The sequence below is a fragment of the Homo sapiens genome, chromosome 7 (assembly GCF_000001405.40).
Source record: "Homo sapiens chromosome 7, GRCh38.p14 Primary Assembly".
Taxonomy (NCBI): Eukaryota; Metazoa; Chordata; class Mammalia; order Primates; family Hominidae; genus Homo; species Homo sapiens.
Window position 1 is genome coordinate 447,711 of NC_000007.14, and position 21,782 is coordinate 469,492.

A 21,782-nucleotide genomic window follows, 5' to 3' on the forward strand; every position below is an offset into this window, starting at 1 on the left:
AATTTCCCGGCTGTGACTCAGCTTCTAGTTCCCAAGATGCCACCATTGGGGGAGGAGGGACCTCCTGTGCCATTTTCACAACTTCCTGGGGATCTCTAACCATTTCCAAATAAAAAGCATTTGAAATTGATGAGCAAAGCCTGAAGGCCTGGAAGGAAACACGAATGGGCTTTGCTATATTCTCTATATTTAAAAAACAACTTTTGCTGGGCGCAGAGGCTCACACTGGTAATCCCAGCACTTTGGGAGGCGGAGGCGGGTGGATCACTTGAGGTCAGGAGTTTGAGGCCAGCCTGGCCAGCATGGAGAAACCCCGTCTCTACTAAAAATACAAAAATTAGCTGGGCATGGTGGCTCACGCCTGTAATCCCAGCTACTCAGGAAGCTGAGGCATAAGAATCGCTTGTACCCGGGAGGCGGAGATTGCGGTGAGCCGAGATGGCGCCACTGCACTCCGGCCTGGGCGAAAGAGCGAGACCCATCTCAAAATTAATTAATTAATTAAATAAAATTAAAAACAACTTTTGCTTTTACAAAAAAGATAAGAAATTAAACAGATGAATGACAAAATGGGAAAACATTTTCAAGTCGTATCATGGGCAAACTTGGGTTTGGGTTAATAGCTCTGACGTATTAATAGCTTCTACAAATAAAGAAAAAGGCAAACATTATTTTTTAAAATGGCCCAAAGAAATGAATAAATAACAGAAAAGGAAAATTCCAGTGTCCTTTAATTATATGAAAACATTCTAACACAAAAAAATAGCAAGTAGAAAAATTTTAAACTGAAGCAGTTTTACCAATGGAAGTGTGAATATTAATTTTTTTATGTTGGTATGCTAATCAGTTAGTAAATTTTTTAAGTATAGTTCAGGCAACTCAGCTAAGTGATCCACTTGTCAACTATAAGTTTTATGAAATCTTAATGTAGGCAGAGTATTTCTGATGAGAATGTCGTGTGCATATTCAGATGTTCTGTAAGTGTGAAATACAAACAAATTTTGAAAACTTTGTATTAAAAAAGAATGACAATATCTCATTACTAGATTTTTTATTGATTACATGTTGAAATGATAACATTCTGGCTATATTGGGTTTGATAAATAAATACATTACTAAAACTGATTTCACCTGTTTCTTTTTACTTTTACTGTGGCTACTAGAAAATGTAAAATTACGCCTGAGACTCAGATTTTATTTCCGTCAGACAGCACCAACCTGGACTTTCTCATTTTCCAGATGAGAAAACTAGGGAAGGGGCTGGACACGGTGGCTCACACGTATAATCCCAGCACTTTGGGAGGCTGACAGGGGGTAGATCATTTGAGGTCAAGAGTTCAAGACCAGCCTGTCCAACATGGAGAAACCCCGTCTCTACTAAAAATACAGAAATTATCTGGGTGTGGTGGTGTGGCCCTGTAATCCCAGCTACTCGGCAGGCTGAGGAAGGAGAATCGTTTGAACCCAAAAGGCAGAGGTTGCCATGAGCTGAGATTGCACCACTGCACTCCAGCCTGGGCAACAGAGTGAGACTCCATCTCAAAAAGAAAGAGAGAGATAGAGAGGGAGAAAGAAAGAGAGAGAGAGAGAGAGAGAGAAAGAAACTACAGAAGGAAGAAAGCACAGCCCTCTCTCCAAGCCTGGCCGGAAGCTTCCTGTCACCCTCTCATTTTCTGTGCCCCCCAAGCTGACACACTGGGGACCAAGCAGCTACTTCCGCACCTGCAGGCATCTGCCTTTCCGAGAAGGAGCGTTTGCTCGCCACTCACTCACTCCCAGGTGCCCACAGGCCTCCTGTGCACTCCTCAAGGTCCCCCCTCCTACTGTGAGCTCCCCAGCATCCCCCCTCCTGCCATGAGCTCCCCGGGGTCCCTGCCCTCTCACATTCTCCTTCCTTACTTAACAATGTTCTTTATTTTGTGTCCGATGAGCTCACGTTTTGCTTCCTGACATCGAAGCCTCGTCTCTGCTCCCCCTGCAATTCCCAAAATGGGAGACAAACGTGTTGGGGTTGAGAGATGGTTTTAGGAGATACGAAGACAGTTCGAGAGTGAGGAAGTTCTTATACGAGGAGAATGCACCTGTTTGCTGCTAATCCGCCCCTTTGACACTCACAAGCTAAGGGCCCTGCCCCCAGGAGCACCAGCCAGAAGCACGCACCAGTGTTTCATTCTGTCTGTGTGTGATGTTCGAATTAACCTCAATTCATGGCAGGAGATGCTAGGTTTTTACTGGAGATACTGCATTTCTCTTTAATTATTTAAGTTTTTTTAAGTGATCTAATTTTATATCAGAGGGAGAATGCAATTTTTAAAAAAAGGAAGGAAAAAATGAGTTAATTTTTTAAAACACACTGAGTAAACAGCAAACAACATCGCGCAGGTCAGGGAGCGAAAGCAAGAAGGGCACCAGGCAGTGGCTGAAATTTAAGGACCCGAATTGGGCCACACCCTCACAGCACAGGGGGATAAACTGAGGCCCAGTTGGACACGGCGGCTCACACCTATAATCTCAGCCATTCAGGAGGCTGAGGCAAGAGGATCGCTTGAGCCCCGGAGTTCGAGGCTGCAATGAGCTGGGATCACACCACTGTACTCCAGCCTGGATGACAGAATGAGACTGTCTATAAAGAAATTTTAAAATTAGCTGGACGTGGTGGTGAGCACCTGTAGTCCCAGCTCTTCTGGAGTCTGAGGCAGGAGGACGGCTTGAGCCTGGGAGGTTGAGGCTGTGGTCAGCTATGATTGTGCCACCGCACTCCAGCCTGTTCGATACAGTGAGACCCTGTCTATAAAAGAAAATTTAAAAGCAAATAAAATATAAAAGGTAAAACAAAACCGAAGCCCCCCTCCCTTCCTTCTAAACCCTTGTTCTCCCTAAAGCTGCTCTGCCCGGGCCCTGTGGCCAGACCCTAGAACCCCCACGTGGTCCCTCCCCAGACCCCTCCCACCTTCCTGCTCTGAGACCCTGCTCTGCTCGCCCCGCTACCTGTGTGGAGCCCACAGGGTGGCCACCCCCAGCCCCTCCCGCAGAGCCCACACAGCATGGCTGTGCCATCGGCCGATGAGGTTTCCTCCCCCCACCCCCCAACCCACCCACAGGCAGGGGCCTGGCAAGGGCAGCTTCCTGCTAGACCCGGCACCGGTGGCAGAGCTGATGGTGACAGGAGCTTGTGCACCTCAGCTCCACAGCATGGAACAGGATCCACAGCCCATGGGAGGCTCAGAGTGGGCGCCCAGGGGTGTTTGTCAAATGAATGAGTGAGCACAGCGAGCCTCCCCAACACCCCGGAAGTCGGCTTTAGTCCCCTTCCTGCCTCTGCTGAGTCTGGACGGCCTCCCATTGCTGCAGGACCACCCCCAACTTCATGTCCAGGAGGGCCCTGAGGCCACAGAGCCCTGGGTCCCACCCGACACTGCCTCAGAGGGGCCTCTGCTCCCTCCCATGCTCCTGCCCTCCTGCCGCCTCTCAAGCTCTCTCCATCTTTCACTTCCCCTCCGCCTCTCCCCCTCCATCCGTCTCTCCTCTTCCTCCATCTCTTCCCCTCCCTCCCTCTCTCCCCATCCCTCTGTCTCTCCCCTCTATCCTTCTGTCTCTGTCTCTCTCTCTTATGCTGTCTCCTCTCTCTGTGTCTTTCCCCTCCGTCTCTCTCTCTCTGTCTCTCTCTGTTTCTCACTCTTCTGTCTCTCTCTGTCTCTGTCTCTCTCTGTCTCTGTTTGTCTCTCTCTCACCCTCTCTCCCCTCTCTCCGTCTCTCTCCCCTCCATCTGTCTCTCTCTCTCTCTCTGTCTCTCTCCTGTCTCTCTCTCTCTCTCTCTGTCTCTCTCCTGTCTCTCTCTGTCTCTCTCTCTCTGTCTCTCTCCTGTCTCTCTCTCTTTCTCTCCTCCTCCCTCTCTTTCCATCTCTTTCCCTCTCTCTCTTGTCTCCTCTCTGTTCCCAGCAGGGCGTGGCTGCCCCAGGAGAGCTGAATGAGGTCTCTGAGCGCTTTGTTCTGCCCTGGGGGAGGGACAGTTGGGCCGGAGGTGCCTTTGCAGCATCACTCAGCAGCCAGGGGACTAATTAAGAGCTTGAGTTACCCTAGCGAGGCTGGAAATGGGACCTGCCTCTGCCCCTCTGCTGCTCCCCCAGGGGGCTGCTGAATCCCTTCCCCGCTGGGCTGCTGGGCCCCTGCCCCCCTCACCCCCCAGCAAACAAACAAACAAACATTCCGCCCAGTTTCTGATTTTCCCAGACGCGCACTGACGTTTGAGCGGCCTGGAGGTCTCTGGGGGCAGCGTCCTGCGCAGAGCCCAGCACAGGTGACCGCCCTGAGGCCTCCCGCCCCAAGAGCAGAGCACGGGGTCACACCCTTCCCCACCCGGCCCCACTCCCTTGTAATTTGGGAGTGACGTCACCCCCTCCTCAGCCACGTTTGAGGAAAAGTCCCCATTCACAGGAAGGCGAGATTTGTGGTGATCCTGAAATAGCCCCAAAGAGCCGCCTGCCACCCCCGTCAACCCCCGTCATGCCCAGAAACCACACCAGGCCAAGGACAGAGGGCAACGGCTCCGGGGCCTTTGAAGCCCACGGGAGACTTGAAGAAACGTCCGGAAGACCAGGCTCTGCTGTGGGCCAGCCCCCGGAGCCATGTGTGAGAATCGCTCGGGGAAGGAGCGTGTGAAGCAGAGGGGAGGGGAGGGAGGGACGCAGCCCTGCGCACTCTGAAACCCGGCTTCTGGCCTCCGACGGGGGAGAGTGCATTCCTGTGGCTCCCGGCCCCACGCCCCAGGGAGGGAGGGACCATCCTCACTCTTGGCAGCCAGGACCCCGAATGCAGAGCTTCCAGGACTTGTCCCAGGCCACGCAGCCACCCCGAGGCAGCCGGGACGCAGAGCCTGGCCCCAGCCCCAGCTCCGCGGTGCACAGTATGGCCTCAGACAGCGGCCTCACGCCTCTGCACCTCAGTGTTTGCACCTGTAAAACGGGACTGGTCCTCAGCCTCCACCTCGAAGGGTTGTGTGGGGTTGCATGGAATTCGCCAAGGGAGCGAAGAGTCTGCGGAGATCACCGCTAATATCCCCAGGGCCTGAGCCAGGAGGGTCCACACCCTGAGGCCACTCAGGCCCCATCAAGGGTCAGCAAGAGGGAGGAAGCCTGGCAGCTCCGTCCACCCCCTCGGTCCTTCCTTGCTGAGCCAGCCCTCCCTGGGTCCCAGAAAGACGACGGGGGTGTCAGAGGTCCCTCCTGCAGGCCGGCCCAGGGCCCCAGCGAGCTGGGGGTTGGAGGGGAATTCCCATCCGCAGGGAGGCACCGGGGCTTCAGGAAATGCCTGGGCAGAGGGAACAGGGCAGGCCAGGCGGGGGTCCGTGCTCTCACCCCTCTCCAGGTGTGCTTCTGGCTGTGGCTTGGAAACATGAGGACCTGAAGAGGGGCTGGGGCCCAGGTGGGCACCATTGCGTAGAGAAGCTGCGTTTGAGGCACGCAGGGGAAGCCCCAGCCCCCTGAAGAGGAGGAGCCTCCACGGCCAGCACAGGCCGTGGTCCCTGGAGACACTGTGGGAGCCGGTGCCTCAGGCCTGGACAAGTGCCATGGGTTGGGGGGGGCGCCCGCACCAGCCATGCTCTCCTGGCAGGATGGGGTGGCTCAGGCATCCCCATGCTCTGGGTAGAAGGTCTTCCTGCCACACTGAGGCCGGCCAGCACCCTCTGCCCCTGCGCCGTGTCCACCATTGTCTGGCTGGAGCCCTGGGGAAAGGCCCCAGAGGCCTGGACTGTCCAGACCCACAGGCACAAAGCGAACTCAGGAGCAGCCCAAACCCGGAAGGAACCTGCTTTCATTCCAGCAGACACGGGCTCCGTGTGTCACGTTCAATGATAACACCTGATTGTTGATCACTGTGTCTAATGCCAGACATCGTTCTAAGGGTTTGTATCTATGAACACACTCACAGGGACCTTGAAAGAGGTTCTGTGATCTCCCCATTTCACAGATAAGAGAAATCGAGGACAGGGAGATGTACGCAGCGTCCCCAAGGTCGTGCAGCTGGTAAGGAAAGGCCCGGAATCCAACCCCGGGCAGCCCGCGCCTTCCGCCCACGTTAGGCTCCCCCACTGTTAAAATTGCACGTTTTTATTGTATGGTTTGGTCTGTTTTCATTTTGAGTTGGTTATGGAAGGCGAGGGCCTGGGGGCGGGTGGGCTAGGCACATACTCCAGGGGCCTCTGAGGTCCTGACCCAGCAGCAGGACCAGGAACCACGTCGATTCTCCAGCATCTTCCCATGGATGGGCACTCCCGGCCGGCATTGCTGTTCCCTGGAGTCAAATGATGCTTGTCCTGCATCTCCAGGCCCCACAGGTGGACGGGCCCTCCTGGGCAGCATTGCTCTTCCCTGGAGTAAAACGATGCTTGTCTTGCATCTACACGCCCCGGAGGCAAGGGCTCCTCAGGCTCTTGTGGGGAGGAAGAGGAGAATGCCACCCCCTCAGCACCCCCACCCAGCACAGGAACGCCCACCACCCTCGTGGTCCTGACGCCACTGTCCTGAGCTGCTGTGACAGGTCTGGGGAGACCCCTGGATCCTCCAGCCCTCCCCCCCCGGGTGGCGAGGGGTCTCTTGCCCACAACAGCTGAGTAAACAAGCCCAGGTTGGGCAAGAGACTCCCCAAGTGGGTGGCAGAGCCTGGTTCTGACTCTATGCAGACTCCAAGTCAGAATTCTCTCCAGGGGTCCACACGGCCACCTGAGGAAGGGGTAACAATTCCTGCACCTGACTGGGCTTTGGGCCTGCGGAGCCGATGAAGTGGGAGCTCACCAGCTGGGGTGGCCAGACCCCCACCTACATGCACGGGTCCCTCTACAGCCCTTCTTGTCACAGCTGCAGGCAGGCCTCAGTTTCCCTGTCTGTAAGAGGGAGGCGGACGTCCTGGGCAGGGTGTCCATTCCCAGGGGCTGCCCTGGGACACAGCAGCACCAGGCATCTCCCCCTGGACAGCACCCGCAGCACCCACAAAAATCTGCCGGGGGCCACCGAGCCGGGGCCGCACAGCCAGAGCAAGGAGGCCTTCCTGGTGGAGGGGGCTCGTCACCTGGCCCTCAGTGAGGTGTGGGTCTGCCGGCGTCTATCCTGAGTCCGTCCGAGCGCCGGCGTCTATCCAGAGTCCATCCGAGCGCCGGCGTCTGTCCGGAGTCCTTCGAGCGCCCGCGTCTGTCCGGAGTCCGTCCGAGCGCCCGCGTCTGTCCTGAGTCGGTCCGAGCGCCCGCGTCTGTCCTGAGTCCGTCCGAGCGCCGGCGTCTGTCCTGAGTCCGTCCGAGCGCTGGCGTCTGTCCTGACTGCATCGGAGCGCCGGCGTCTGTCCTGAGTCCGTCCGAGCACCGAGGTTACAGCCCCTGTGCTGGGGCAGAACAGCATGTCCGTTGGGCTGCAGATGGGACGGTGCCCTGGGGACCCAGGAGGGGTGGACGCCTCCACCAGGGCCTTCTCCACTGGCCCAGCCTGGGCAAGACGCGGGCCCAGGTCAGCATCCACCCTGTCCCCCGTGTGTCCTCGGGGGCCCAGTCAGCCAAGCTCTGCCTCTCCTGACCTCCACCGGCCCATGCAGGCCTCGCCCGGACAGGTGGGAAGCTCAGAAGTCAGGAGCAGTCTGAGCCCAGAGTCAGGTTCCCGCCCTGGAGCATCGCTGGGGCCCATCTCCACGTGGATACAACGGGGCAGCATCCACCTGAACCCGAGGCCATGGGCAGCTTCACAACACAGAGTTCCCACAGTGCCTGGCCCTTCCCTCCTCCCTGTGCCAGGCCTGGGCTGGACGCAGGACGTGGGGACGGCTGTGTCCGTGTCCCCGGGGAGCACAGGGGCCACTGTGAGTATCACATGCAGTCGCTACTCCCCGCTGAGCCTCCGTTTCCCCACCTCTGAGTGGGGCTCCCTCTGCCCCCCGCCCCCACGCTCACACGTGCACAGACGGGCTGGGGTCTGAGGGTGACCTTGCTTCCCCGTGGGCTCCCCCGGAAGGGGCCTTTTCCCTGGGCTGCCCGCCCGCCCGGCCGCCCACATGCCCACCAGGCAGCCGTAGGGACACTTCCTGGCCACCCGCCAGCTCCCCGACTCGCCTATGGTGATTGCTGGCGCCCGGCCAGCCGCTGTCACTGGCCCCGGGGGCCCCTCAGCATTCTTGGCTTTTGTTTCCGATGACGCTGGGTCCACTGGGAAGGGAGAGACCAGACCAGGAGGGGGTTCAGGGAGAGCCAGCGATGCGACGGCAGGACCCCCAGGCCTCCCACCCCAACGCCGGGACCCCCAGGCCTCCCACCCCAATGCCAGGACCCCAGATCTCCCACCCCAGACCTCCCACTCCAACACTGGGACCCCTGGGCCTCCCACCCCAATGCCGGGACCCCCAGATCTCCCACTCCGGACCTCCCACTCCAACGCTGGGACCCCCAGGCCTCCCACCCCAACGCCAGGACCCCAGATCTCCCACCCCAGACCTCCCACTCCAACACTGGGACCCCCAGGCCTCCCACCCCAACGCCGGGACCCCCAGGTCTCCCACTCCGGACCTCCCACTCCAACGCTGGGACCCCCAGGCCTCCCACCCCAACGCCAGGACCCCAGATCTCCCACCCCAGACCTCCCACTCCAACACTGGGACCCCCAGGCCTCCCACCCCAACGCCAGGACCCCAGATCTCCCACTCCGGACCTCCCACTCCAACGCTGGGACCCCCAGGCCTCCCACCCCAACGCCAGGACCCCAGATCTCCCACCCCAGACCTCCCACTCCAACACTGGGACCCCTGGGCCTCCCACCCCAATGCCGGGACCCCCAGATCTCCCACCCTGGACCTCCTACTCCAACACTGGGACCCCCAGGCCTCCCACCCCAACGCCAGGACCCCAGATCTCCCACCCCAGGCCTCCCACTCCAACGCTGGGACCCCTGGGCCTCCCACCCCAACGCCAGGACCCCAGATCTCCCACCCCAGGCCTCCCACTCCAACACTGGGACCCCCAGGCCTCCCACCCCAACGCCAGGACCCCAGATCTCCCACCCCAGGCCTCCCACTCCAACGCTGGGACCCCCAGGCCTCCCACCCCAACGCCAGGACCCCAGATCTCCCACCCCAGACCTCCCACTCCAACACTGGGACCCCCAGGCCTCCCACCCCAACGCCAGGACCCCAGATCTCCCACCCCAGACCTCCCACTCCAACACTGGGACCCCCAGGCCTCCCACTCCAACGCCGGGACCCCCAGGCCTCCCACCCCAACGCCAGGACCCCCAGATCTCCCACCCTGGACCTCCTACTCCAACGCTGGGACCCCCGGGCCTCCCACCCCAATGCCAGGACCCCAGATCTCCCACCCCAGACCTCCCACTCCAACACTGGGACCCCTGGGCCTCCCACCCCAACGCCGGGACCCCCAGGTCTCCCACCCCGGACCTCCCACTCCAACGCTGGGACCCCCAGGCCTCCCACCCCAACGCCAGGACCCCCGGGCCTCCCACCCCAATGCCAGGACCCCCAGGCCTCCCACCCCAATGCCGGGACCCCAGATCTCCCACCCCAGACCTCCCACTCCAACACTGGGACCCCCGGGCCTCCCACCCCAACGCCGGGACCCCCAGGTCTCCCACCCCGGACCTCCCACTCCAACGCTGGGACCCCCAGGCCTCCCACCCCAACACCAGGACCCCTGGGCCTCCCATCCCAATGCCAGGACCCCCAGGTCTCCCACCCCAATGCCGGGACCCCCAGGTCTCCCACCCCGGACCTCCCACTCCAACGCTGGGACCCCCAGGCCTCCCACCCCAACACCAGGACCCCTGGGCCTCCCATCCCAATGCCAGGACCCCCAGGTCTCCCACCCCAATGCCGGGACCCCCAGATCTCCCCTCCAGACCTCCCACCCCAACGCCGGGACCCCTAGATCTCCCACCCTGGACCTCCCACTCCAATGCTGGGACCCCCGGGCCTCCCACCCCAATGCCAGGACCCCCGGGCCTCCCACCCCAATGCCGGGACCCCCAGATCTCCCACCCCAGACCTCCCACTCCAACGCTGGGACCCCCCAGGCCTCTGGGGCCCACAGAGGAGGGGTGGCAGTGAGGGTGGGGGGCTGTGTTGATGTGCGACTTCCAGTGTGGGATGGGAGTCGTCTCCCTGAAGAGGAAGAGGGAGCACAAGGGGCCTTGGGTGCTGCTGGCGCTCCCGAGCTGAAGGCGGGCAGAATGGACTCAGCACCAGGCCTCGGGTGAGGGGCTGGGGACAGCAGTGAGGCCTTGTCCTCCCGCAGACTCCCAGGGGTGTGAGGGTGAGGTCGAGAGGGCCACAGGTCAGGGTCTGACCCTGCCCCACGGGGACATCGCTGCCTGTACGGCCCTCCCCTAGGCCCCACTGTCCACGGGGGCCCCTCTGGGTTAAGAGCAGCGACAACTGTTCCTATTCATACCGCCTGGCCTCAGGTCCACGGCTGCGGCCACAGAGCCCATCCAGGAATTCTGCTGCTCTCAGTTTACATTTAAAATAAATGTTTCCTTAACTCGCATCTCATGGCCGGCGGTGAACGGCAGGAATTGTGAGCGCACATCCCGCCCTCCCTGCTGGACACTAAGGATGGGGGTCCCCTGGACCGAGCCTGGACAGTAGGGATGGGGGTCCCCTGGGCCAAGCCCAGACAGTGGGGGCAGGGGTCCCCTGGGCTGAGCCCGGACAGTAGAGGCGGGGCTCCTGTGAGCCGAGCATGGGGGTCCCCTGGGCCGAGCCTGGACAGTGGGGACGGAGGTCCCGTGGGCCGAGCCTGGACAGTGGGGATGGGGCTTCCCTGGGTTGAGCCTGGACAGTAGGGACGGGGCTCCCGTGGGCTGAGCCTGGACAGTAGGGATGGGACTCCCATGGGCCTAGCTGTCCCCAGACACTGGAGACCTGGCTATCAAGAGGAGAGCCTGTGTGTGTGAGTGGCCACCCCCATCCACCATGACCCGGAGGCTTCCTGTGGGCTTGCTGTGCTGTGCCTCGGTTTCTCACCTGGCCAGGCACCCCGCCCCCAGACGCTGCACCCAGGGTTCCAACCAGGGCATCACCTGGTGTGGCCCAGGCCTGGCAGGGAGCAGAGGCTAGCTCAGCTGTGGTGGGGGAGTTTACAGAAGAGACTTGACGCTGCCTGGGCAGCTCGGGGAGCACCCAGGAGTGACAAGCCCAGGGCCCTGCAGCAGCAGGAAGCCATGACCTTAGTAAGAGCATCCTAGGAGAAGCATCCTGGAGACACAGGGCTACTGTGGGAAACCCAGGTGCAGAGAGAGCAGAGGAAGAAATACCCTCACCTCTCTTCCTCCCGCCTTCCAGTCTCTGACTCAGTGCTGCCATTAGCTAGTCTCAACAGGATCAGTGCTTCTCATTGGCCAGCCTCAACAGGATCAGTGCATCCCACTGGCCAGCCCCAACAGGATCAGTGCATCCCACTGGCCAGCCCCAACAGGATCAGTGCATCCCACTGGCCAGCCTCAACAGGATCAGTGCATCCCAATGTCCAGCCTCAACAGGATCAGTGATTCCCATTGGCCAGCCTCAACAGGATCAATGCATCCCACTGGCCAGCCTCAACAGGATCAGTGCATCCCACTGGCCAGCCCCAACAGGATCAGTGCATCCCACTGGCCAGCCCCAACAGGATCAGTGCATCCCACTGGCCAGCCTCAACAGGATCAGTGCATCCCAATGTCCAGCCTCAACAGGATCAGTGATTCCCATTGGCCAGCCTTAACAGGATCAATGCATCCCACTGGCCAGCCTTAACAGGATCAATGCATCCCATTGACCGACCTCAACAGGATCAGTGTCTCCCACTGGCCAGCCTCAACAGAATCAGTGCATCCCATTGGCCAGCCTCAACAGGATCAGTGCATCCCACTGGCCAGCCTCAACAGGATCAGTGATTCCCATTGGCCAGCCTCAACAGGATCAGTGCATCCCACTAGCCAGCCTCAACAGGATTAGTGCATCCCATTAGCCAGCCTCAACAGGATCAGTGCATTCCACTGGCCAGCCTTAACAGGATCAATGCATCCCATTGGCTGACCTCAACAGGATCAGTGCAGCTATTGGCCAGCCTCAATATGATCAGTGCATCCCATTGACCGACCTCAACAGGATCAGTGTCTCCCACTGGCCTGCCTCAACAGAATCAGTGCATCCCATTGGCCAGCCTCAACAGGATCACTGCATCCCACTAGCCAGCCTCAACAGTATCAGTGCATCCCATTGGCCAGCCTCAACAGGACTGGTGCCTCCCATTGGATTAAACAGGACTAGTGCCTCTCATTGGCCTCAACAGGATCAGTGCCCCCGCTTTGCTGGCCTCAACAGGAACCCAGCCCCTGTGCACACCAGCACTGGATAATAGGTCCAGGATGGCCCAAGGAGAGAAGCTGGCTCACCTGCTGGCTGACAGGTGACCCCGGACCATACTAAGCCTGCCTGTGTGCACCACAATATTCAAGAGAGAGGCTGCGACCATGCACCCACCCAGAACCCACTGGACCCCTGGGTCCCACCAGCTGCCTCCGGCACTCCTGCCCTAGGTGACTGGAGCTGTTTCCAGGGCTGAATTATTCCCAGCTGGCCTCTCCAGCTCTGAGGGTGAACCTGACTCCTCACCACCCCAAGGGAAGCCCTTCTCCCGCAGCTTCCAGGACCAGCAGCTCCCCAGAAGGCGTTGTCTCCTCTGGCTGTGGGCTCAGCCATGGTGGGGCTGGCAGAAGGAGGCGGGAGGAGTTAGCCTGAGGAAACCGCTGGGCACACTTTCATGTATGGGCCACTCCAAGGAGCTCACTGTCCTTCCAGGGCTGGAATGCTAATTACCTCCCCCGCGGGGACAGAGGAATCCTGTGAGGGGGGCCACTCCGGCCTGGAGATCTGCAGCCGCTTGGGCCCTCCCTTCTCTCAGGCCGAGAGCGCCTGTGAGGGGTGGATGGTTACAGCTCGCACGGCCGGGTGCCTGCAGGGCCGGGCTCTGCACCACCCTCTCCATCTCCAGGTCCTCACATCGCTCTGAGATCGGCCTGTCAGGCCCATTTACAGAAGGGGAAACCGAGGCTCGGGAGTCGAAATTCCGAGCTCAGGGCAGCAGAGCCAGGATTTAAACACAGGCTTCCTGACTTCTAGGCTAGGGTTTCAAGCACCTCCCACTCAAAGGGGAGGGTGATGTCAGAAACAGCCACAGGGCTGAGTCCACACAGATCCCCGGAGGCCGGGAATTATGCCCTGACCCCAACAGCCATCTCCCGGCTGGCCGAGGGGAAGTTTGCTGAAATTTCAAGAGCTGCACTTCCAAGCCCAGCAAACACCAGGGCCAACCGTGTGTCCCACGGGGTGCTGGGGTGTCGGGACACAGGGAGTCAGACAGGTCCTCTGTCCACTGAGACCTCTCAGCCTAGTCAGAAAGATACAGAGTGGGTGGGTGGTTCCAAGGCATGGATCTGGCCTGTAAAACTGGATGGGTGGGGACAAAGCACCTGTGAGGGTGGGGAGCTTCAAGGACAGCTTGATCAAGGAGCTGCTGCCAGAGCTGGGTTTTGAAGACTGAATAGGAGTTTTCTACTGGGGAAGAGCATTGCATGTGGAGAAGGCTATGTGCAAAGTGTGAAAGAGCGTGCAGAAACCCATGCACATCATGAGCCAATTCTCAAGCTCCTCATCACCAGCAGGGCAGCCCAGAGGGAGCCCCACGTGGGCAGCAGCAGAGGGAGGACCCCACTGTCCTGGCTCCAGTTCCCAGTTTCTCCTCTGCCCTGCGGCCCCCTGTCTGTTTCCAAATTTCCCCTTCAATGCCGCTAGCTGGGAACCGGAGGTAGCACTGGGCAGGCACCCTCCCAGCGGGGGCACGAGCTCCTCCAGCCAAGACACCAGGCACTTCCTGACTCTGGGCTCGAACGGGGGGCACCGAGGGGGCGGCATTCCAGATGGCATTCCAACTCCTCCTCAACAATCTGTCCATTTCCTGCCTGGCTGCAAATTTCAACATTTCCTCCCCAGGCCACCTCCGGTCTCTGCCCGCCGCCTGCCCTGTGCTGACCGGAGGACAGAGGACGTCCCTTGTCCTGCCAGCTCAGCATGGACCCAGCCCTGCCCTTGCTTGAGCCAAGAGGCCCAAGGGTGAGGAAGCGGGGCAGAGCCGGGGTCGGGGGGGATCTCGGGGTCCAGCCCCCATGATACCACTAACCTCATCTGTGCGCCTAACCTCAGTGGGCACATATGCAGCGCCTTCCATGTGCCAGCCCCTCTCAGACATGAGACACGGCCCAGGGGAGGACATGGCACACGGGGTCTCCCTGCTGATACTTGGGGCGCAGGCATTCCCTGCGGGGAGCTGGACCCACACATGGGAAAGGGACTCCAGGAAGGGGAGCGTGTGAGCAAAGGCCTGGAGCCGGGACCAGCCCAGACGGGAGGCACTGGCCCATTCCAGGTCCCCGCACCCGGAGGCCGGCTCCCCAGCAGCTGACTGACCTGAGCAGATCCTGGGAGAGGCTGGCAGTGGGCAGAAACTCAGCAGAGGACAACTTTGTTTCTTTGCAGGACACCCTCCCTAGGTTTGGGGATGTCCTGCCTAATGACAGCGGGGATCCCCAAGATGCAGTGAGGGCTTCCCCAGCCTCCCTCACACTAAAGAGGTGGCTCCTTCCAGCACTTCCAATCAGACAGGTTCTTATGGGGAGGTGGGTACAGGAGCCTTGTTCTGGGGAAGGCTGCGGCCCAAGGCCCCCTCCCGAGGTCTGCGGGCATGTCCAGGCTGGGCGCCGGCTGTGGGCTGTGGGCTGTGGCCCTGTGGCCTAGGGAGCCCCCGGCAGGGTGCCTAGGGTTTGTTCAAGCCCTATCCGGAGAGTCCAGGGCCCACCCTCAATCTTTGTTTTTTTGGCTTAAAGTAGCTGGAGTCTGTCTGCTGCTAGGAGCCGAGAGCGCCGCCCGCAGTGGGACGGAGCCGGCCCCACAGCTCCGTGCACTCGCGACGTGCGGCGGACGGCGGTGGCTGTGGGTGGTGCTCACCTGACCCAGGGGCCTTCCTGGCCTGCCGTGGCCCGGAAGGACCCTTCGTGATGTCCGATGAGGCGGACGGTTCTGCCCTTGAGTGCAGGAGCCCAGCCGGGCTTCCGGGGATGGGCGAGAGAGCCCCGGCCGCCCACCCCTCCAGGAGCACACTAAGGCCTGGGGGCTTCCCGGGGGGGAGGGCGGACCTGGCTCTTGAGAAACACAACTGACGGCTCCTGCGGCCCGAGACCTGGGCCGGAGCCCCCACCTCCTTGGCGCGGTTCCCAAAGCCGCGTCCCGTGAGTCCCACGAGCTGGAGGAATAGCCATCAGGGGAGGCACCCCCTGGCCTGGCCCTGATACAGCGGGGTCGTGGGTGCTCTGGCGGGACGGCCCCCAGGCAGCCCCGGGCCAGGCCAGCCCAGAAGGGCCTAGGAGGCAGCCGCGTGGTTAAAGTGGGGGTGCTGTTTTTGTTGCGGGATGTCTGTGGGTTTGAACCCCCTTGCCCTCATCACACTGGTGGTGTGAGCCTTGCTCGGAAAGCTGGATTTGAACGTCGTCTGGGTTTGGCGTTGGCCCTCAGGGCCCGGCGTCCTTCCCCGGCGCTGGGACCCAGCCTCCGGGGAGCCGTGAAGCCCTGCCGTCTTGTGGCTCCAAAGCCGGTCCACCAATGACCTCGTGCCAGCGGCATCACGACGCTGCCTCACACCGCACAAGACTCGCCGGGAAGATGCGAGACCCATGACAGAGCCCAGAAAGGCGACGGGGTGGCCCAAGGTCACACCCACGCCAGGCCCAGCACTCTGCTCTTCCCGCTCACCCACTCGGCCGGGCCTGTGCCCTCCCGCCCGGCCAAGTGGGGGCTCCAGGAAGGGCAGCGAGTGCCCCGCGGCCCCGGCCCCACTGCGGGCGGCCGGAACACAGAGGGCGGTGAGGAAGGAGGCGTTCCCTGCCGGGTGCCCTCCAGCAGGATTCGCGAACCCAGGGGAGCGAGCGGGAGGATTTTCCATGTGAGGCCGGCTTCCTGGGGCGAGGCCCACCCGGCGCCAGCGTGGAGAGAGGAGAGGAGCAAAGCGCCTCGACACATTCTCCCTCGGTGATTTAATGGCCGGAGCATTCGTGCGATATTTATGCAGTAAATCCTTCCACTGGGGGGTTTCACTGTGTCACGGGAGGCTCCTCCCAGCCCGTCCCCATCCCGTCCCCCCCAAAAAAAGAATCCTGAGAAAATCTCATTTCACAGTTTCCCATCGAGCCAGGTGCACAGCAGCTGCGGTGGGCATGGCGGGCGCGGGTCCTGGGGAACACCCTCTGCTGGCGTCCGCAGCCCGGGAGGGAGCGTGAAGTGGAGGATCTCGGCAGGCGTGGCTGTGTCCAGGCAGGCGGGTGCTGCCGCGTCCCCGGCTGCAGGGTCTTGGTTCCCCGGAGCCACAGGACGGCAGGGCTTCACGGCTCCCCGGAGGCTGGGTCCCAGCGCTGGGGAAGGACACCGGGCCCTGAGGGCCAACGCCAAACCCAGACGACGTTCAAATCCAGCTTTCCGAGCAAGGCTCACACCACCAGGAAAGCCGATACACTTTCTAAACTCCACTTCTGAGTTGAATATTCGAAATAGGCTCTTAAAGCAAATGTTGGCCCCCACGTCAGAGTCAACCATGTTCATCGGATGCCTCCAGCCCCACCAAACAGTCCACCTTCACCCCACCCTGCCCTGGAAAGTACACCAAAGTGCCCCTGGTACTGTGGGGTTGTGGGGGGCAGGGTGGCACCCGCAAGCGTCTTCTTCAAAAACAGCTGCAAATCCGAGCTGAACCTGCCCCAGCCACGCTGCCGAGCTGAGCACTAGGAGCTGGGCTTGAAGCCACCAGGAGGGGCCCATCCCCAAAAGGACAGCCAAGCCCTCAGCAGCACAGAGCGGACGTCTCTGGGGTGGTCGCCACATACGGGGCTCACCCCACCCTGTGCAGTAGGAATGACCATGTCCTAGACAGATGGAGGCTCGGAGCCTGGGAAGCTGTGGAATTTGCCCAGGGCCCCCAATCAGAAATGGAGAGACAGGGCCCCGAACCAAGCCACTCCCTCTGCCCCAGCACTCCTGCCTGCCCTGGCGCCTTGGGGCTGCCCTGCCTCCTTTACGGCTGTCCCTGCAGAGTGGACTCAGGTCATTGGCCCTGGGGGGCCTGGGGGAGGCTGAGTTTCCAGCAGATCCGTCCTCAGGCTCAGCCGTGCAGAGGAGACTGGCAGATGTGGGCCTGGTTCTCCCAGTGACCAAATGAGGCCCCCATGTGTGTGTCCCCAAGAGACCAGACCAGGTGGGTTGGCTCTTTCCAGACCCCTGCGTGGCTCAGTGCTGAGCTCGGCTGACCGGCCACCCAGCGCCCGATGCCCCAAACATCCACACGCATAGAAGAAACATGACCAGGGCCTGGGAGGGTTTCCGGGCGTCCGCCTCCCCAGGGCCGCCGGGGCTGCTGGTCAGTAGCAAACACAACTCTCCTCTAATAAAACCAATCGTCTGAGGCTGCGGACGCCACAAGAGGAAACAGCTGTGCACTGCTGGCTGCGAACACATGTTTCAAGGCCATCTCTCAGGCAGCCTGCTCCTGCTTCTGAGGAATGCTGGAATCCTGGCCATTTCTGACAACAGAATGCTCCGGGCTATGGAGAGGAGAACCGCCGGGCCGTGGAACATACATTATCACGCACACACACCGATCAGTTCAGCAGACCACCACGGAGATCCTGCTGCGTGCCAGAGACCGTCACGGATGCATAAAGGGGCTCTTAGCCCCTCCCACAATCCTGACCTACTGTGGCCTCCACAACCACAGAAACGACAGATGTCAGAAGTAAAGGGTCCCATATACCCCAAAAGACACGCAGGAGTATCCACGTCCACTGTTTATAAGGGTCCAGAATCCCAATGTCCGTCCGGAAGCGTATGGACTTAAAAACTGGTATACAGCCGGGCACGCGGTGGCTCATGCCTGTAATCCCAGCACTTTGGGAGGCCGAGGTAGGTGGATCACCTGAGGTCAGGAGTTCAAGACCAGCCTGGCCATTGTCTGTCTCTACTAAAAATACAAAAAATTAGCCGGGCATGGTGTCAGGTGCCTGTAATCCCAGGTACTCGGGAGGCTGAGGCAGGAGAATCGTTTGAACCCGGCAGGTTGGAGCTTGTGGTGAGCCGAGATCGTCCACCTGCACCCCAGCCTGGGCCACAGAGTGAGACTCTATCTCTAAACAACAACAACAAAAACTGGTATACAATGGAACACTACACTAACAATTTTAAAAAGACTAAACTATTGATAAATGCAAAATGGATTAACCTCAAAAGGGTTATGGCAAGTGAACAAGGCCCAAACCGAAAGCGTGTGCCTGCAAGATTCCTCCTCCGCGATGTTCTGGAGCAGGCCACGCTAACCGGTGCTGATGAAAAGCAGGAGAGCGGCATCCTCCACGTGGGGATTGTTCTAAGGGCAGAGAAAGCTTTCTGGGCACTGGGAAGACTTCCATTGCCTGGCCTGGAAAGGTGGTGGCCCAGGTGTTTACATGAGCAAGAAGCCCTGCAGCCATACCCACGGGTCCACAGATTTCACCCCGTGGAAATTCTTTCTCAACAGACTGCTGGGAAAGCCAGGTAAATGCTTGAGGAATGTCAGCCTCCTCCCTCACCCTCCTCCCTCACCCTCCTCCCTCACCCTCCTCCCTCACCCTCCTCCATCCTCCTCTCTCACCCTCCTACCTCACCCTCCTACCTCACCCTCATCCTTCACCCTCATCCGTAAACCTCATCCCTCACCCTCATCCCTCACCCTCCTCCTTCACCCTCCTCCATCACTCCTTCACCACTTACCCTCCTCCATCAGCCTCCTCCCTCACTCTCCTTCACCCTCCTCCCTCACCCTCCACCCTCACCCTCCTCCCTCGACTTCATCCCTCACCCTCCTCCTTCACTCTCCTCCCTCACCCTCATCCCTTACTGTCATCCTTCACCTTTCTCCTTCACTCTCCTCCCTCACCCTCATCTCTCACCCTCATCCCTCATCTTCCTCCTTCACCCTCCTCCTTCACCCTCCTCCCTCACCCTCATCCCTTACCCTCATCCTCATCCCCCACCCTCCTCTTTCGCCCTCCTCCCTTACCCTCCTCCCTCACCCTCCTCCCTCACCATCATCCCTCTTTCCATTGAGCCTCAAATCATGAAACAGTAGGAGGCAGAGGCCGGCCTTGGGGAGAATGGGCTGACCACTGCTGCCTACACAGCAGAGAGGTGAGGCAGGTGTCCCTTCAGGCCAAGCCGAAATGTGAGTCCACCTCGAGTCTCAGGCCGAAGGTGTCACAATGGGTCTTTAAAGGTGGAGACCAAGAGCTGACCCCAGGTCTCCCAGCCATGTGACGTTAGGGAAAAACATATCAGGCCCCTCAGACTAGACGGGGGCTCCCCAGCCTTTGTTGACACAGGAAAAAAAAATAGGAAAGTCTAGAGTATTACATAGGAGATTATCCTACCTCCTCATGGCCATCACCTCCTCACAGCCATCACTTCCCATGACTATCACCTCCTTCCTCAACCATCACTACCTCCCACAACCATCACCTCCTCCCACAACCATCACCTCTCACGGCCATCACCTCTTCCCACAAGCATTACCACCTCCCACAAATATCACCTCCTCCCACAACCATCACCACCCATGACCATCACCTCCTCCCACAACCATCACTTCCCATGACTATCACCTCCTTCCTCAACCATCACCACCTCCCACAACCATCACCTCCTCCCACAACTATCACTTCCCACAACCATCACCTCCTCTCACAACCATCACCTCCTCCCAAAACCATCACCTCCCATGGCCATCACCTCGTCCCACAACCGTCACCACCCATGACCATCACCTCCTCCCACAACCATCACCTCCTCATGGCCATCACCTCCTCCCACAAGCATTACCACCTCCCACAAATATCACCACCTCCCACAGATATCACCTCCCATGACTACCACCCCCCATGAGTATCACTTCCTCATAACCATCAGCTCCTCATGACCATCACCTCTCATGACCACCACATCTCACGACTATCACTTCCCCATGACTATCACTTCCTCATGACCATTACTTCCTCATGACCACCACCTCTCATAATCATCACCTCCCATCACTTCCCATGACTATCACTTCCTCATGAACATCACCTCTGATTGACCACCACCTCCCATGACCATCATCTCTCATGACTATCACTTCCTCATGACCATCCCTTCCTCAAGACTGTCACTTCCCCATGACCATTGCCTCCCATGACCATCACCTCTCATTGGCCATCGCCTCCCATGACCATCACCTCTCATGACTATCACTTCCTCATGACCATCACCTCTCATGACTATCACTTCCTCATGACCATCACCTCCTCATGACCATCACCTCTCATTGACCACCACCTCCTATGACCATCACCTCTCACTGACCACCGACTCCCATGACCACCACCTCTCATGACTGTCACTTCCTCATTACCATCACCTCTCATGACCATCACCTCTCATGACCATCACCTTCCATGACTGTCACTTCCTCATGACCATCACTTCCTCATGACCATCACCTTCCATGACTGTCACTTCCTCAAGACCATCCCTTCCTCAAGACTGTCACTTCCTCATGACAATTACTTTCTCATGACCACCACCTCTCATGACCATCACCTCCCATGACCTTCACTTCCTCATGACCGTCGCCTCCCATGGCCATCACCTCCTCACGACCATCACCTCTGTCACCATCACCATCTCTGTCATTCCTGCAACTGTCCTACCACCACTGCCACATCACTGTCATTGCCATTACCATCCCCCTCACAGCCTATTTCCTTAATTAGTGAGATGCGGGTGAGTGTTCCAGTGTCTGAGGACCCCAGGCTGGCAGAAGACGCTGAACTCAAGCCCAGGTCTTCAGATGCCAACTGCATGCTCTCTCGCCTCTGCCCTGGGTCCTACAGTCCCACCAGGCCCCTGGCCAAAGGCTCTATCCCCAGTGCTGAGACATGGTCACCAAAAGCCTAGCTAAAAGTCATTTCTGAAATCCTGTTTTCAAACCTCTACATAAGCCACACATATCTGGAACCTCCTCCTTTTTCCTAATGAAGTCAAAGGTGTTAACTTTACGGTGACTGCATGACTGGTACGAAGCACCCTGGCTGCCCACGGAGCCAACACAGAGCCACTTCCCCCTCCCAGAACCCCACACTCACGCTTACGTAACCCTCGGAGGAAGTCTCACATGATGACCGGCCTGCTGAAGAATGACTACCACCAATACAACTTTTTATGGGGTTGGTGGTAGAGTCTATATTTAAAACAATTCTGCAAATCCCTGGGAAGTGAATGCTCATTAGGATCTGGGGCAGCTTGCAAAGTAGAGACGGAGGTTTCAGCTAAGCCCTGGGGTATTGTAAACTGCAGAAAGAAAAATTGGATGTCAGGAAAGCCAGATCACTTCGACAAAGCTCAGCCGAGGACTTCCTTCCTCTGTCTGGGACTCTGCCTGGGCCTGAAGGCACCAATACGAACAGAAAGGCTGGCCTGTGGGAAGTTCCCAGGGTGTCCCAGTGACCCACACGCATGGGTGCAAGTGCCATGGAGAATGGGAGGTCCAAGAGCTGAGCTCCCACCCAACAGCCCTCCCCACGTGGGCACCTCTCAGAGTTCTGGGAACTAACTTCCCTGCACAGCTGTGTCTCACAGGGGACTCCAGGGTGGCT

General features: G+C 59.3%; 4 annotated features.

Moving 5' to 3' along the window:
- Nucleotides 3,936–4,005: an enhancer, noted in NCBI's record as "active region_25469". NCBI's record gives its function as "activates an Ori minimal core promoter by ATAC-STARR-seq in GM12878 lymphoblastoid cells {active_cell/tissue: GM12878}" and the evidence as "EXISTENCE:reporter gene assay evidence [ECO:0000049][PMID:35858748]".
- Nucleotides 4,636–4,955: an enhancer, noted in NCBI's record as "active region_25470". NCBI's record gives its function as "activates an Ori minimal core promoter by ATAC-STARR-seq in GM12878 lymphoblastoid cells {active_cell/tissue: GM12878}" and the evidence as "EXISTENCE:reporter gene assay evidence [ECO:0000049][PMID:35858748]".
- Nucleotides 11,970–12,697: an enhancer, noted in NCBI's record as "H3K4me1 hESC enhancer chr7:499317-500044 (GRCh37/hg19 assembly coordinates)". NCBI's record gives its function as "activates a minimal SCP1, AML or CMV promoter by ChIP-STARR-seq in naive H9 embryonic stem cells {active_cell/tissue: H9 hESC(naive)}" and the evidence as "EXISTENCE:reporter gene assay evidence [ECO:0000049][PMID:30033119]".
- Nucleotides 12,698–13,425: an enhancer, noted in NCBI's record as "H3K4me1 hESC enhancer chr7:500045-500772 (GRCh37/hg19 assembly coordinates)". NCBI's record gives its function as "activates a minimal SCP1, AML or CMV promoter by ChIP-STARR-seq in naive H9 embryonic stem cells {active_cell/tissue: H9 hESC(naive)}" and the evidence as "EXISTENCE:reporter gene assay evidence [ECO:0000049][PMID:30033119]".